The sequence below is a fragment of the Homo sapiens genome, chromosome 12 (assembly GCF_000001405.40).
Source record: "Homo sapiens chromosome 12, GRCh38.p14 Primary Assembly".
In the NCBI taxonomy this organism is placed as follows: domain Eukaryota; kingdom Metazoa; phylum Chordata; class Mammalia; order Primates; family Hominidae; genus Homo; species Homo sapiens.
In genome coordinates, this window is record NC_000012.12 from 22,046,035 (window position 1) to 22,060,122 (window position 14,088).

A 14,088-nucleotide genomic window follows, 5' to 3' on the forward strand; every position below is an offset into this window, starting at 1 on the left:
AAGCCGCACTTCCTCCAAATATCTCTGGACTCCCACTGCTTGACTTAGTTTTGGGGTCACCTCATCAGAGCCTACTTGGCCTACTGGCCCCAGACGAGGCGGCCGCGGACTACAATTCCCAGCGAGCACCGCGAGGGGCGGGGGAGGGGGCGGGGCGAGGGACGGCCGCGCGCGCCAGCTGCCAGGCGGGGATCGGGCGGCGCCGAGCTGAGGTGGTGAGGGACTAGCTCCCGGATGTGGAGAAGCTGGGGAGAAGGCGTGGGAGGAAGATGGACTCGGTGGAGAAGGGGGCCGCCACCTCCGTCTCCAACCCGCGGGGGCGACCGTCCCGGGGCCGGCCGCCGAAGCTGCAGCGCAACTCTCGCGGCGGCCAGGGCCGAGGTGTGGAGAAGCCCCCGCACCTGGCAGCCCTAATTCTGGCCCGGGGAGGCAGCAAAGGCATCCCCCTGAAGAACATTAAGCACCTGGCGGGGGTCCCGCTCATTGGCTGGGTCCTGCGTGCGGCCCTGGATTCAGGGGCCTTCCAGAGGTGCGCATGTGCGAGAGTGGGCGGCGCGGCCTGGGCGGGGGTCGGGAGAGGGAGTCGGGCTGCTGGAGGGGCTGGGGCCTCCGGGGCCACCGCTCTTGGAAGGGGGCCATCTCTCATGCCAGGGATGTGCAAGATCCGGGGTGCCTGGGGCCGGGCTGAGAGCCCAGGAGGAAGGGCTCCAGCTCCTTCCTTGTTCCGTAGCTGCCAATGGTCATAACCTGGGACAGTTCCTGTCTCCGCCCTTGAGAATCATCCGTAAAAGGGGAGATTACACCTCCCCAACCGTCCCCTCCTCCCGGGTTGACCTTACGGGGAAAAGTAAAGGAGGCCACCCCGGTGCAACATCTGTGATAATATGTGAACTTCTTTGGATGGGGGCCATCGAAGCTCCCCTGTTGCTCAGCCTCTGATAACTGCTTGGTGCTGCTCGATTAGGGAGGCATCAGGTTCATGAATGGAGTTGAGTGTCGGGGTGTCAGAGCTGAATTTCAAGCTCAGCTTGGAGATCTTTTCCTAACCTTTGAAAAATACTCCAGCTATCTTCCTGTGAGTCAGCACAATCTAGAAAACTCCCTACATTTATAAATACGTGAGACTCAGTGGGAAGGTGTACAACTGACTGTTTTATGATATATTAATACTTACAAATCATTTAATCATACCTTTGGAACCTCGCCTGCCCTATGGACAGTTTTAATTATGCGTAATTTAGATACATTGCCAAATTGGTCAGGAGTTACAAGCTGATGTTATTCATAAAAGAAGGGAGATCGAATTCTGTGCCAAGAATGAATTTACACATATAGCTTCAACCTAACTACATTTGAATGTGTTGTTATTGTGGAAATTAATTTATGTTAACCTTTTGATGTTTCGATTTTTAAAGAGATGACTGTTTTTGAAGTCATCTCTTTTTCTTTTTGAACCTATATTTGCTTACCCATATTAATATATGGGTAAATGATTTTCATTTAACCAGTCTTGTTCAAAAACGGGAGATGCCAAAAAAGTATAAATATACTAATTTTCTTAATGTTTCAACCCAAAAGAAGTCCTGGATGGACCAAGGCAAATAGGAGCCACCACTCAGAAGATAACACTAGTGCAATAGGAAGTGTGCGAAGGAGAGATAGGGAAGGACCTGGGGATTTTGTTCAATTCAGTAGCTATTTACTGAGCCCTAATTTCTGCTATACATGTCCAAGGGAATACCAAGATGATTGGGACACAGTTTTTGTCCTTGTGAAGCTCACAAACTTTGGGATATTTTTACATTCTTAGAAAGGGTACAAACTAAAAAGGACTGAGAGAAGTAGGTGCATCCAGACTGCAGTAATATAGTGAAATATCATTTTTGTGAAATGAACTAGAGATCAAAATCATATTCACAGTAAATGGAGAACAAAACTGTTAATACCATTTACAACTCTTAGGTTGTATATATCAGGAAACCCTGTTCAAACTGGCATAACAAAAGAGGGAAAGGCTTATTAAGGTACAGTCAGATTCAAGGACAAAAAAATGATTCATTCATTCAGCATACTTACTGCCTACCTACTATGTAACAGGCACTGTTGTATGTACCGAACCACGTGTAGTAGCAGTAGAGACAGCCCTTAGTCTCATAGAGCTTACGTTATAATAAGGAAAGACATGCAGTATACAAGAACATTAATGTGTGTTGTATCACGTTATGATAAATATTTTTAAGAAAAAGTAAAGCAGGATAAGAGGATGGTGCACTTTGTTGCCAGAATCCTCAATTTCTTAGCTCTGGATAGACCCTTTATGGTTTCAAGGTGGTTGTACTGAGAACTGCAGAACTCTCAGGGTACCTAATGACTTGCTCCAAACCTCTGCTCCAAGAGACTTGACCAAGCCCTAGCATGGCTTCTAGCAGCTTAAGGCCATGTCCCTAGGATGATCTCAGGTTCCCTTAAAATGGCTTCCTGAAGAGGCTCAAAGCTGCCAGAATTTCCTGATTGTTCCAGGAAAAACCTGGTGAGAGGCCCCTGAACCCTCTTTTAGAGCAATTAGTTTAGAAAGCTTGCAATTATAAAAACTTTCCCTGCCTTTTGAGATGTAAATCTACCACACAAAACTGTTTCCTCAAGGACCTGGGAGCCCCAGAACCCTGTCTCAGTGAAATGCGAACATTCTAGGAAATAACTCTTACTCTCCTTCCTAGTCCCTCTGGGAAGATAAAGGGCAAAGTTCAGTGGACACCTTGCTTCAACTTGCTCAGTTGCCTTGTCTCATAAGGATAGAAGATTGTTTCTCTTCCAGATAAGCGCTAGTTAACAAATCCATATGGCCTAGTCACACGGACTAAGCCCTGTTAGCACCCCTCAGTGCCTTTCCCTTAGCACAACTCAGCCTTTAAAGTCTCCAGCCTTTCGTTTTCTGGGGCTGTGAATGCAATTCACATTGGACTCTTTTCCCTGTTGCAGTAGTAACAGAATACAATCTGTCCTTAACACTTTAGTCACCGATTTTGTGTGTCTTTGATAGCAGTCCTCATATTCTTACAGGTTTAAATGTAAGTCAGAAGGAGTGCTCTCCTCGAAGCTCGAAGTTTCATTGTGCCTCATTGGGTACCCTGCTCATTCTTCAACCAGTCACTATGGCAAGAGGAACATAGTGCTTGTATTGCTACAGTATAGCTTCATCTTCCACTCTTGAAACCAGCGATGGAGCCCCCGCTGAAAAACATGACAGGTTCATCAAGAGGAAAATTGGAGTACAATTACCAAAAGTGAGGGGGAATAGATTCTGTTGGTCAGAACCCAACAACCAACCATTACAGCAGGCATTGGGGATTTTGCTATGAAATGATTGGAAAATATGTATATATATTGACCAATGATTTTCCCATTTCCACATTTTAGCATTTGTACAAAACTTCTTTTAAAAAAAGACTCTAGTATCAACCTTTTCTGTACCAAGTAGTTTTATTTAATACTTCTAGACTAGAGTGTAAACTCATTGACCACAGGGATAATGTTTTATACTTCTTCAAGCCACCTGTGGTATCTGTCACTATATCAATGGTGGCGATTAGAAGAAATAAAATTGGCTGGGCTCACACTTGTAATCCCAGCACTTTAGGAGGCCGAAGGCAGGCGGAGGCCAGGAGTTGAAGACCAGCCTGGCCAACATGGCGAAACCCCATCTCTACCAAAAATACAAAAATTAGCCAGTTGTGGTGGTGCATGCCTGTAATCCCAGCTACTCAGGAGGCTGAGGCAGGGGAATCACCTGAACCCGGGAGGTGGAGGTTGCAGTGAGCCGAGACTGGACCACTGCACTCTAGCCTGGGCAACAGAGCAAGACTCTGTCTCAAAAAAAAAAAAAAAATTTTTTTTCTAAACTAGCAAAATGAATGTATTTCTAACTTAACAGTATCATGTAACAATGTGAATTTACTCTGTTCAAGTTTTGTGGCTATGTGCTATTTGTCATCCTTTCCAGGCATCTGGAGAGATTAGGTCAAAAGGTAATAGAAGGGACCAGCACTTCTTCCTCCATGAAGCCTTTACTGATCCCCTCAGTGAAAAGTAATTGTGCCTTTGTTTTCCCATACATAGCTACGTCGTTTGTACCTTCATTTAGTGCATGCCCTATGCAGGGAGATAAGATCACAGACTCTGAAATCAAACTGTGGATTTGAATTCCAGCATCACCATGTGTTAACTGTGCAAACTTGGGTAAATCGCTTAACCTCTCTGTGCCTCAGTCTCTTCATCTACAAAATGTACTGAAGTGTGTGCCTCACAGGCTTGTGGAGGGAATTAAGTGAGATAATGTACGTGCAGCCCTTAGAATAGTGCCTGGCACATAGTATGTAATCTGTTATTGACATTTTCCTCTTGTTTAGAAGGTTTTTACTATCTTCCATGCTTGTAAAATGGGAAACTCTCCCATTGCTTGTAAAACGGGAAAGTTGTAATGATCTTTAAAATTATTTCTGGTGCTAACATTCTTTGACTTTGAAGAGTTAGTGGAAAGATGTCTTTATTCTCTTTTTCAGTTTCAGTGGCCAGCAGACTTTTTCTGTAAAGGGCCAGATAGTAAATATTTTAGGTTTTGTAAGCCAGATCGTCTTTGTTGCAATCACTCAGCTCTACTGTTGTGTATGTTGTGAAGGTGGCCATGACAATACATAAATGAAAGAGTGTGGCTGTATTCCAATAAAATGTTACAGAAACAGGCTGAGGAGTGGGCAGAATTTGGCCTGGGGAGACTCCTGCCATACTAGGTGAAAAGCTAAGCTTCTTATGAGCAAGTACCCTCTTATTCATCATGGTATGCTTTATATACTAGATCATTAAAATGTGTTGACTTATATTCAATTGACTTACTATGAAGCTGTAAGAGGACTTTGGAGCACCCTTCCTGCCTCCTACCCTCTCTTTTGTTTCTTCAAAAAATGTTTACCTTAGGAGAGAGCTGAAGAAAATTGCAGCTGTCTGATTTGTGTTTTTCAGGGCTCGAAGATACCTTTGAGATTATTTTGTTCAAAACCACGATTTGACTTAATTGAGGCAGATTTCTCTGGCCTGCTCAGAATCAAAGCTAACAGTACTTTTCAAGGTTGCTAACTTTGCATACTAACTAGGCTAGTTAGTAGTTAAGAAAAATGCTGAGATAATTTTTTTTCCTTTAGTACAAAGTTATTGCCAGAGTTGATTTTGTAAGAGCTTAATTTTCAACAGTGGTTCAGTGCTGTGTAAGTAAACCTCAGAACAAATTGATTTGTAAGTGTTGCCTAACATACTTGGGAAAAGTAAACATGTTTTAGTTTTATGCTTAGGGTATAGACTTTTGATTAATGAAAGGCCTATGCTGTTATTATCCCTAAAATGGCAGCTTCTGATTTAAAATAGTTATCACAGGCACCATGGTTGATATTCCTGTTGGTCCTGTTAGATGTGGTGTGACTTCATTTGAGGCTAAAGCCATTGGCATTAGACTTTGACATTCACTCTGCTTGACTGGCCTGTTTGTTCACTTGCTCATTTTCTCTTTTGCATAGCCCCATCTTATGTCCCTAAACCAAAGGAAAATTATCTACTCAGTCTCTTTCATAGGTTATGATCATAGTATTTTAAGTGTACATATGGGATACTGTTTTCATATTTTTTTCACAGTGTAATTGCTTAACATAACATACAAATTAGACATTTGGACCTTTGAAGGTCTGGAAGCAGAACTTCAGTCTACCTTCTGAAGATTGAGTGTGAGGATTAAATGAGACAGAGTAGATGTTACTTTATTACCATTCCTATTTTGGTATTTTGAATAGCTAACATTAAATGTTTATTCTGTAGTAAATGGTTTATATTTAATCCTCTAAACCATATGAGGTACCCACTATTATTACTTACCTCCATTTTACTGAAAATTGAGGCATAGGGAGATATGGATTTTTCCCATGGTCATATAGCTAGCATGTGGTGGAGCCAGAATTGAACCTCTTCCTTCAGAAACCATCCTTTTAATCCCTTACTGTTTCATTCATTCAACAGATCTATATTGAGCACCTGATATGTAGCAGGCACTGTGAAAGTACTTTGTAAAAAGTAAAGCACTGAAAAGAGCGTAGTTACTTAATTGATCCCTCGCTTCTCTTTTCCTAATGGTTTAAAGAGAATTACACCGCTATATTGGCCTCAGTCTCCATCAGTAGGCCAAGACTTTCTCAAGAAAATAAACTATGCTCTATATGTTATTACATCCCTAGTGTCCAGAATCGTGCCTGGGACAGAATAAGCACTTAGTAAATGGTTCATAAATTAAGGATGAATGAACGAAAGAAGGAAGGAAGGAAGAAAAGCAAACCTCCTCCAAAATTCTGTTTTTTTTCTTGCTTTTTAAACATTACTTAAAGACCACTGAACCCTCTGGTATTGAATTTTCATTGCAGTAAAAATCAGGATAATGAAGTAAATGGCTTCAGCAATTTATTTCAATTAATGTAAATTAGATGCCAAATTACCATGTCTTTTGCCTTCCCTGTTTATTTTTTATTGTATTCTAATTTCATCTTATCCTCTCGTCATCTCTATTTTAAAAATGCACTAGGTTTTCATTGCTACTTTACTTTGTTATATACCTTTGACTATGACATTTCCCAAGAGAACATTTTTTTCCCACTATTTCAGATTTCAAGATGGAGGAAAATGGGGGCTCCTGCGTTCGCCCTGCATAGAGTGACATAAGTAGATATCACGGGATTCTTGACCCCTAGCCAGTGGCTCATCTTGTTTGCTAGGCTTTCTTTGATTATTTTTTCTTACTGACTTTATCCCTTGATTTAAATCCCTCTATAAATATTAAAGGGAATAAACGAAATAAATAAATGAAATCCAGGGATGTTAGAAGATTTTCTTTAGTTTTTCACTTTCTTTCCACTCATGATAATTGAGCATAGACAAACATGCAGTTCAGCCGAGCGTGGTGGCTTACACCTGTAATCCTAGCATTTTGGGAGGCTGAGGTGGGAGGGTCACTTGAGGTCAGGAGTTTGAGACCATCCTGGCCAACATGGCAAAACCCCATCTTTACTAAAAATTGGTCGGGCGTGGTGACACATGCCTGTAATCTAATCCCAGCTACTCAGGAGCCTAAGGCATGAGAATCGCTTGAACCTGGGAGGTGGAGGTTGCAGTGAGCAGATAATGGGCCACTGTACTCCAGCCTGGGTGACAGAGCAAGACTCTGTCAAAAAAACAAACAAAACATGCAGTTCATCTTTCCCTCAGTAGATATCGAAAGAGTGGGATAAAAGGAAAAATATATATGTGTGTGTGTATATGTATACATATACACACACACATATACACATTATATATACACATTATATATACACGTTATATATAATTTTGTATGTATATAAAATAATGTGTATATATGTTTGTGTGTGTATATATATATATACACACCAAATATATATATATATATACACACACATACACCAAAGACTATAAGTCATTAAGATATCTTTGCATAAATCACTATTAAAACATGGTGGGGGCCGGGCACGGTGGCTCACGCCTGTAATCCTAGCACTTTGGGAGGCCGAGACGGGCGGATCACGAGGTCAGGAGATCGAGACCATCTTGGCTAACACGGTGAAACCCCGTTTCTACTAAAAATACAAAAAATTAGCCGGGCGTGTTGGCGGGCGCCTGTAGTCCCAGCTACTTGGGAGGCTGAGGCAGGAGAATGGCATGAACCTGGGAGGCGGAGCTTGCAGTGAGCCGAGATCGCGCCACTGCACTCCAACCTGGGAGACACAGCGAGACTCCGTCTCAAAACAAAACAAAACAAAACAAAAAAACATGGCAGGGTTTTGTTGTTGTTTTTTGTCTTTTTTTTTGAGACAGGGTCTCGCTGTGTCTCTCAGGCTGGAGTGCAGTGGCGCGATCTCGGCTCACTGCAACCTCTGCCTCCCAGGTTCAAGCGATCCTCCTGTCTCAGCCTCCCTAGTAGCTGGGATTACAGGTGTGCATCACCATGCCCAGCTAATTTTTGTATGTTTAGTAGAGTCCGGGTTTCACCGTGTTGGCCAGGCTGGTCTCCATCTCGTGACCTCAGGTGATCCACCCGCCTCGGCTTCCCAAAGTGTTGGGATTACAGGTGTGAGACTCCAGGCCTGACCAAACATTGTGGCTAGAGTAGTATTTACATCTTCTGCATTTAGCAGTGGGAATTTGTGACTGTCCAGGAAACAAAACTTCAATAGAAACTGGTACCCCTCTCCAAAACAGCATTTTGCCTACTCATCATTTTGTAAAGGCTAAATAGGCAACTGTGTAACCTGCGGTTAATAGAGTATTAAGTTAAATTCTTTTGAGCTAATGAAGTCATGTTCTTCATGTTTGTTGTTATCAATGGCTATAACCCAGCTGATTCTACATCTATATACCCATTGTTTGTTGTTTAAAAAAGAAAGAGTTGTTTCATCTGATTTTTTTTGAGCCCAGACTTGGGCATTTATTATCTTCTAAGCTTGAAACTGTTTCACCTTTAGGGTTTGGCTAAGCCAAGTCCATTTTTTTTTTTTTAGCAAGCATATTAAAATATTTTATACAATATTTTGGATTTGGATGGAGAATAAGCAAGATCTTTAATTTTCTTTAGATTTGACTTCTAGTGCCTTTTTAAAAACGTTTATTTTAGGTTCAGGGGTACATCAGGCTTGTTACAGAGGTAAGTTGCATGTTGCAGGGGTTCGGTGTACAGATTATTTCGTCATTCAGGTAGTAAGCATAGTACCTGATAGGTAGTTTTTTGATCCTCACCCTCCTCCCACCCTCTACCCTCAAGTAGGCCCCAGTGTCTGTTGTTCCTTTCTTTATATAAAGCATATCTAGGACTGCATTTTTATTCATTAATATATTTATATACAAAATACTTTATAATTTCTTACATTTTATACTCCTTTGGATCTGTAACATTATTATCATTGTGCAAAAAATATTCTCACATTATATAAGCTGTATTTTATGGTTACAGAGCTCCATTTTATTGTTAATGATTTCTTTTGATTTGGCTGTTAATTTCTTTTGATATCTGAACAGTGTATGGGTTTCGACAGACCATGATGAAATTGAGAATGTGGCCAAACAATTTGGTGCACAAGTTCATCGAAGAAGTTCTGAAGTTTCAAAAGACAGCTCTACCTCACTAGATGCCATCATAGAATTTCTTAATTATCATAATGGTATGAATTTGATTAATAGTTTATTCAAACCTTTATGTACTTTTCTACTTCCTTTATTATCTTATAAGACTTGTTTTAACATTTGAATTCCAAACCTTAATATTACTTGCTTGCAAGGAACTTTTTTTTTAAATATCCTTTTCATTTCTCTTGTCTTTTTAAGAGGTTGACATTGTAGGAAATATTCAAGCTACTTCTCCATGTTTACATCCTACTGATCTTCAAAAAGTTGCAGAAATGATTCGAGAAGAAGGATATGATTCTGTTTTCTCTGTTGTGAGACGCCATCAGTTTCGATGGAGTGAAATTCAGAAAGGAGGTAATCTCTTTTCAGTCTTTATTTTAGCTGATTTTATTGAGAATCAATTTTTTTGTATATAAATATCCTTTAGGCATGAGGAGAGTAAAAGGGGAGCTGTAAAAGAGAGTATTTGACTCATTACTTTAGTAGGTAATGACATTTACAATCAGCTGTAAATCTGTTATCGAGCCAACACAGCTAGACCAAATTAATTCTTTGCTTTACTCTTTACAAAGGGACATTCTAATCCTCTTATTTCTGTTTGCCTTTTGAGGCAGATATGCTGTTTTTCTAGATCAAATACTTTTATGTTTGTTCTAGACATGTTTGATGAACTCCATACAAGTCATATAGAGATAGAAAGCATCCACCAAAGTGTTCTGAAGGATTTCAAGAATGACATTTTGAAGTTCTTCCCCAAATTCCTAACTCCATATATAAGAAGGGTTCCCTAGGGTTTACTAGGCATTTTGCCTGCCATGTCCAGTGTGCTATAAATCTTATCCAGAGAATTATTATAAACACTGTGTTTTTCCATTCAGTAATGTACATTTTAGTTGTTTCGTAGGGATTCCATTTTCTGTTGAAATTTTCCATTTTTTTATCCATTTTAAAAAAAGGTCATTTCCTCTAATTTAACATATTTTTGATAGCTATTTGAAAGTCCTTGATTGCAAATTTCAACATCTAGTCACTTACAGTTCTGTAATCTGCTTCTTTCTTGATTGTGAGTCACCTATTTCTGCCTCTTCATTTGGCTCATGTTTAATTGTATATCTGGCATAGACACTTGAGTACATATTTTCCTCCAGAGAGGGTACACCTTTTCTTCTATCAGGAAGATAGGATAAGGGGCTGATCACTTTGATTCAATTAGGAGTTGGGCTGGGTTGAAACTTTAATTTCATCTCACCTCTTAGTATAGGTGTCTTATTAGGAGATACATCTTGTATGTGTTACTGACACTCACACCCATACCCTACTCTTGCTAACAAGACTAAGGGATCTGATGACCACAATACTATTATGATGTCTCCCTGCTTTCCAGCCCATTCCCAGCTTCCCACCCAGTACACTCAGCCAAAGTCTTGTAAGGGGGAAGCATTAGGTGGGGAAAAACGAGCTATATGTTTGTGGTTCCTACAGATGACAATCTGTAACTCAAGTCCACAAGGTCATTGAAAGCCCTTCTAGTTTTTGCCTACCTCAGCAGAGTCCCTCTGATTATGCAAAGCTTGATCTTTCTTGTACCTTCTCCTCATACTCAGCAGATATGACCAGGGAGAAAGCAGCCACCGATACTAGGAAAGATTTGTCCCTCTCTTTTCTTCAAAGTACCACTTGAATTATCTAGTTGGTTTATTACCTGTCTCTACCCCTAGATTGTATACTTTTTGAGAATAGAGAGAGTTCTGGTCACTACTCTGTAGCCAGTGCCCATAAAGCTATGTTATCTCTAGCTATTTAATTTGTATTTGCTAAGGTTTTTTCCTGGGTTATTTCAAACACTGGGGTGGAATTGAACAGGGGATGATTTCGTTAAACAAGTAAGTAGAGGTTATTCCTAGAAGCCTGTATAAACACAGAAATGGCAGCAAAAAGTGAAGAAAGATTCTGGAGAGTAACCAGCTATTACACACACACACATACACACACACACACACACACACACACACACACACAGATTTGAGGAAAACTCAGTGGAAAGGCAAAGGAATCTCTACATGACAGTACCAAAGTCTTCATTGATTACATTATGTTCTATTCATTAATGTTGACATTACTGAGCCTTTATTATCAGGTATACTCATAAACATAATTTATTATTATGTTTAGTATATTTTTAACTAATGGTAAGAATGTATAATATGTTACATAAACATTTTCATCAATATAAAATCTTCAATAATTTAATGGAGAAATCTTTACTTTTCAGCAATAATTGTATAAAAACAAGTTCTCAACCACATTAGATAAATAAAACTTATTTCTGTATATGCAAACAATGAGAACTAGATTAAAGGGCCCAAATATTAATATAGGTATTTTATGACAAATTCAGTTCTTTTAAAGCTACTTTAAGGTTGTCTTGATGTCCTCCCAAAGCATAATATTTGTATGAATACCTTAATTGTTCCACATTTCATTATAAAATACTTTAGTTTTCTAGTAGCTATTGGAAAGCAAAGATAAATCATCAGAATTATTACAGATTTTATTCCTTTAAAAAAGTTCTTTTTTTTTTTTTTGAGACAGAGTCTCACTCTGTTGCCCAGGCTGGATGGAGTACAGTGGCGCAATCTCGGCTCACTGCAATCTCCCCCCCCCGGGTTCAAGCGATTCTCCTGCCTCAGCCTCCCAAGTAGCTGGGATTACAGGTACCCACCACCATGCCCGGCTAAATTTGTGTTTTTAGTGGAGATGGCGTTTCACTATGTTGGCTGGGCTGCTCTCGAACTCCTGACCTCAAGTGATCCGCCCGCCTTGGCCTCCACAGTGCTGGGATTACAGGCGTGAATCACCACATTCAGCCTAAAAAAAGTTCTTTATCAGGCCGGGTGCAGTGCCTCATGCCTGTAATTCCAGCACTTTGGGAGGCCGAGGTGGGCGGATCACGAGGTCAGGAGTTCGAGACCAGCCCGGACAACATGGTGAAACCCCATCTCCACTAAAAATACAAAAATTAGCCAGGTGTGGTGGTGCATGCCTGTAGTCCCAGCTACTTGGGAGGCTGAGGCAGGAGAATCGCTTGAACCCAGGAGGCGGAGGTTGCAGTGAGCCAAGATCGCACCATTGCACTCCAGCCTGGGTGACAGAGCGAGACTCTGTCTCAAAAAAAAAAAAAGAAAAGTTCTTTATCTAGATAAAGAAATGCTCTGCATTCTGAGTTCATTTTTATTAACTTTTTTAGTTACTAAATTAACACTTTCTATATTCAGGGCAACGTGGACTTACTCTAACTTTTTGCTTTTAGTTCGTGAAGTGACCGAACCTCTGAATTTAAATCCAGCTAAACGGCCTCGTCGACAAGACTGGGATGGAGAATTATATGAAAATGGCTCATTTTATTTTGCTAAAAGACATTTGATAGAGATGGGTTACTTGCAGGTTTGTACCTTCATTTTGCATAACCCTTTTAAGCGCTTTTGTAGGCATACTTTGAGTTCTAGGGAAGAAGTATGGTACAATTTCTTTATGATAAAGAAAAGTATCAACCTATAGAGGAAAGGTAATAGCCAACAACATTTGCTATCTGAGGCATTTATCCTGCAGGTTTACCCCAAAGTGATCTTTGGAATCCATTCAGTAAATATGCAAGGAATTCTGCTACAACGATAAAAAAATGAATCAAGTACTGGGTGTCTACACATGTCCTGGTACTCATATTATTCCACTCAAAACTACGTAATCCATGTTTGTGTTATAGTTATATTGTGGCTGTAGGGTTGAATAACTTCTATTGCTTTAAAAAGACAAATAATTTCATAGAGGTGAAAAGAGTTACAACCTGGGTGTCAGGAAACCCGGAATCTTTTTATATATATATATATATATATTTTTTTTTTTTTTTATTATACTTTAAGTCAACTGCCTCTTACTATGTAAGCTTGAATATGTATCATTTTATCTGTCCTGACTCTCATTTTCAAATAACAGATTTAATGTCTCTCTCATTTTAGAGCCTGCAACATGGTTGCATCATATATTTCTTAACTTGTTAATTTTAGTTATCATTATTATTTATTATTTACTGTGTACTTCGGAGTAGGTGAAACACTTTGCATATGTTATCTTATGTAATCTGCATAGCGAATGAATGAAGTGGACATTTCTACCCAGTTTTACAGAGGAGGAAAACTGCCTCACTGAAATATGAAGTAATTGACTCAAGGCAAAAACAGCTAATAAATGGTACTGTCAGGATTTGGATTCAGGTTCTTATGTTACTCAAGAAATAGCGGTTTTAAAGAGAGAGAGAGAAACCTCTCCATTGTGTAATAAAAATTCTAATGGGACTATTATTCTGAGCAAAAGAGAGAAAAACATTTTTACAAATCTTCTGGTCAATGTGTAGGCAAACTATAGACTAGCTGTTTAGTTAAATTTAAGTGTTCAGAAAAATTGGATTTGACACACATAGATACTACCATTTTTAAGCTTTTTTCTAAGGAGGACCATGATTAACCCATTCCTAAAGTGTGGAGAAAAATGTTTCTCATTAAAACAAGGTTTATGAAGAGACTGACAATTCTGAAAAAAAAAATGAAATTGAAATTGTCCAGTAATTGATCTTGTCATTCAAATAATTACTATCAGAAGAAAGACCCTTTCTCTTGCTGACCCTTGCCTAGAATCAAGAGACTGCCCTTGCCTTTGCCTGCATGTGACTTGGATGACTATTAGTCATTTTCATCAGTAGCTCAGAGATCTAAGAAAACTCTGTACAACAGATGCTACAGTTATTTTTCCTCCCCTGTGTTGCCTGTTAGTTGCAAATTAGAACAGAAGTTCCAAAAACCTTAATACTGC

At 39.8% G+C, this 14,088-nt stretch overlaps 1 protein-coding gene across 2 annotated transcripts in view, besides 6 other annotated features; it reads left to right on the plus strand.

Annotated features, from left to right (window-relative positions):
* Positions 1–295: an enhancer, noted in NCBI's record as "tiled region #13841; K562 Activating DNase unmatched - State 1:Tss, and HepG2 Activating DNase unmatched - State 1:Tss". NCBI's record gives its function as "activates a minimal TATA promoter and a strong SV40 promoter by Sharpr-MPRA in K562 cells, with weaker activation in HepG2 cells {active_cell/tissue: HepG2 | K562}" and the evidence as "EXISTENCE:reporter gene assay evidence [ECO:0000049][PMID:27701403]".
* Positions 1–437: a biological region, named in NCBI's record as "Sharpr-MPRA regulatory region 13841".
* Positions 68–437: a silencer, noted in NCBI's record as "silent region_4286". NCBI's record gives its function as "represses an Ori minimal core promoter by ATAC-STARR-seq in GM12878 lymphoblastoid cells {active_cell/tissue: GM12878}" and the evidence as "EXISTENCE:reporter gene assay evidence [ECO:0000049][PMID:35858748]".
* Positions 81–308: a silencer, noted in NCBI's record as "fragment chr12:22199049-22199276 (GRCh37/hg19 assembly coordinates)". NCBI's record gives its function as "represses an EF-1alpha promoter that drives an FKBP-Casp9 reporter gene in an ReSE screen in K562 erythroleukemia cells {active_cell/tissue: K562}" and the evidence as "EXISTENCE:reporter gene assay evidence [ECO:0000049][PMID:32094911]".
* Positions 184–14,088, plus strand: part of CMAS (cytidine monophosphate N-acetylneuraminic acid synthetase) — a 19,451-nt gene continuing 5,546 nt past the window's right edge. For both annotated transcript variants that reach the window (NR_135117.2, NM_018686.6), the window contains exons 1-4: positions 184–529; positions 9,115–9,257; positions 9,421–9,576; positions 12,533–12,666. Coding sequence is in view for 1 of the 2 variants with exons in the window: in NM_018686.6 (NP_061156.1) it covers positions 270–529; positions 9,115–9,257; positions 9,421–9,576; positions 12,533–12,666 (693 nt within the window). In the remaining variant the exon portion in view is untranslated. The remainder of the gene's footprint in view (positions 530–9,114; positions 9,258–9,420; positions 9,577–12,532; positions 12,667–14,088) is intronic.
* Positions 611–1,316: an enhancer, noted in NCBI's record as "NANOG-H3K27ac-H3K4me1 hESC enhancer chr12:22199579-22200284 (GRCh37/hg19 assembly coordinates)". NCBI's record gives its function as "activates a minimal SCP1, AML or CMV promoter by ChIP-STARR-seq in naive H9 embryonic stem cells {active_cell/tissue: H9 hESC(naive)}" and the evidence as "EXISTENCE:reporter gene assay evidence [ECO:0000049][PMID:30033119]".
* Positions 2,277–2,882: an enhancer, noted in NCBI's record as "OCT4-NANOG hESC enhancer chr12:22201245-22201850 (GRCh37/hg19 assembly coordinates)". NCBI's record gives its function as "activates a minimal SCP1, AML or CMV promoter by ChIP-STARR-seq in naive H9 embryonic stem cells {active_cell/tissue: H9 hESC(naive)}" and the evidence as "EXISTENCE:reporter gene assay evidence [ECO:0000049][PMID:30033119]".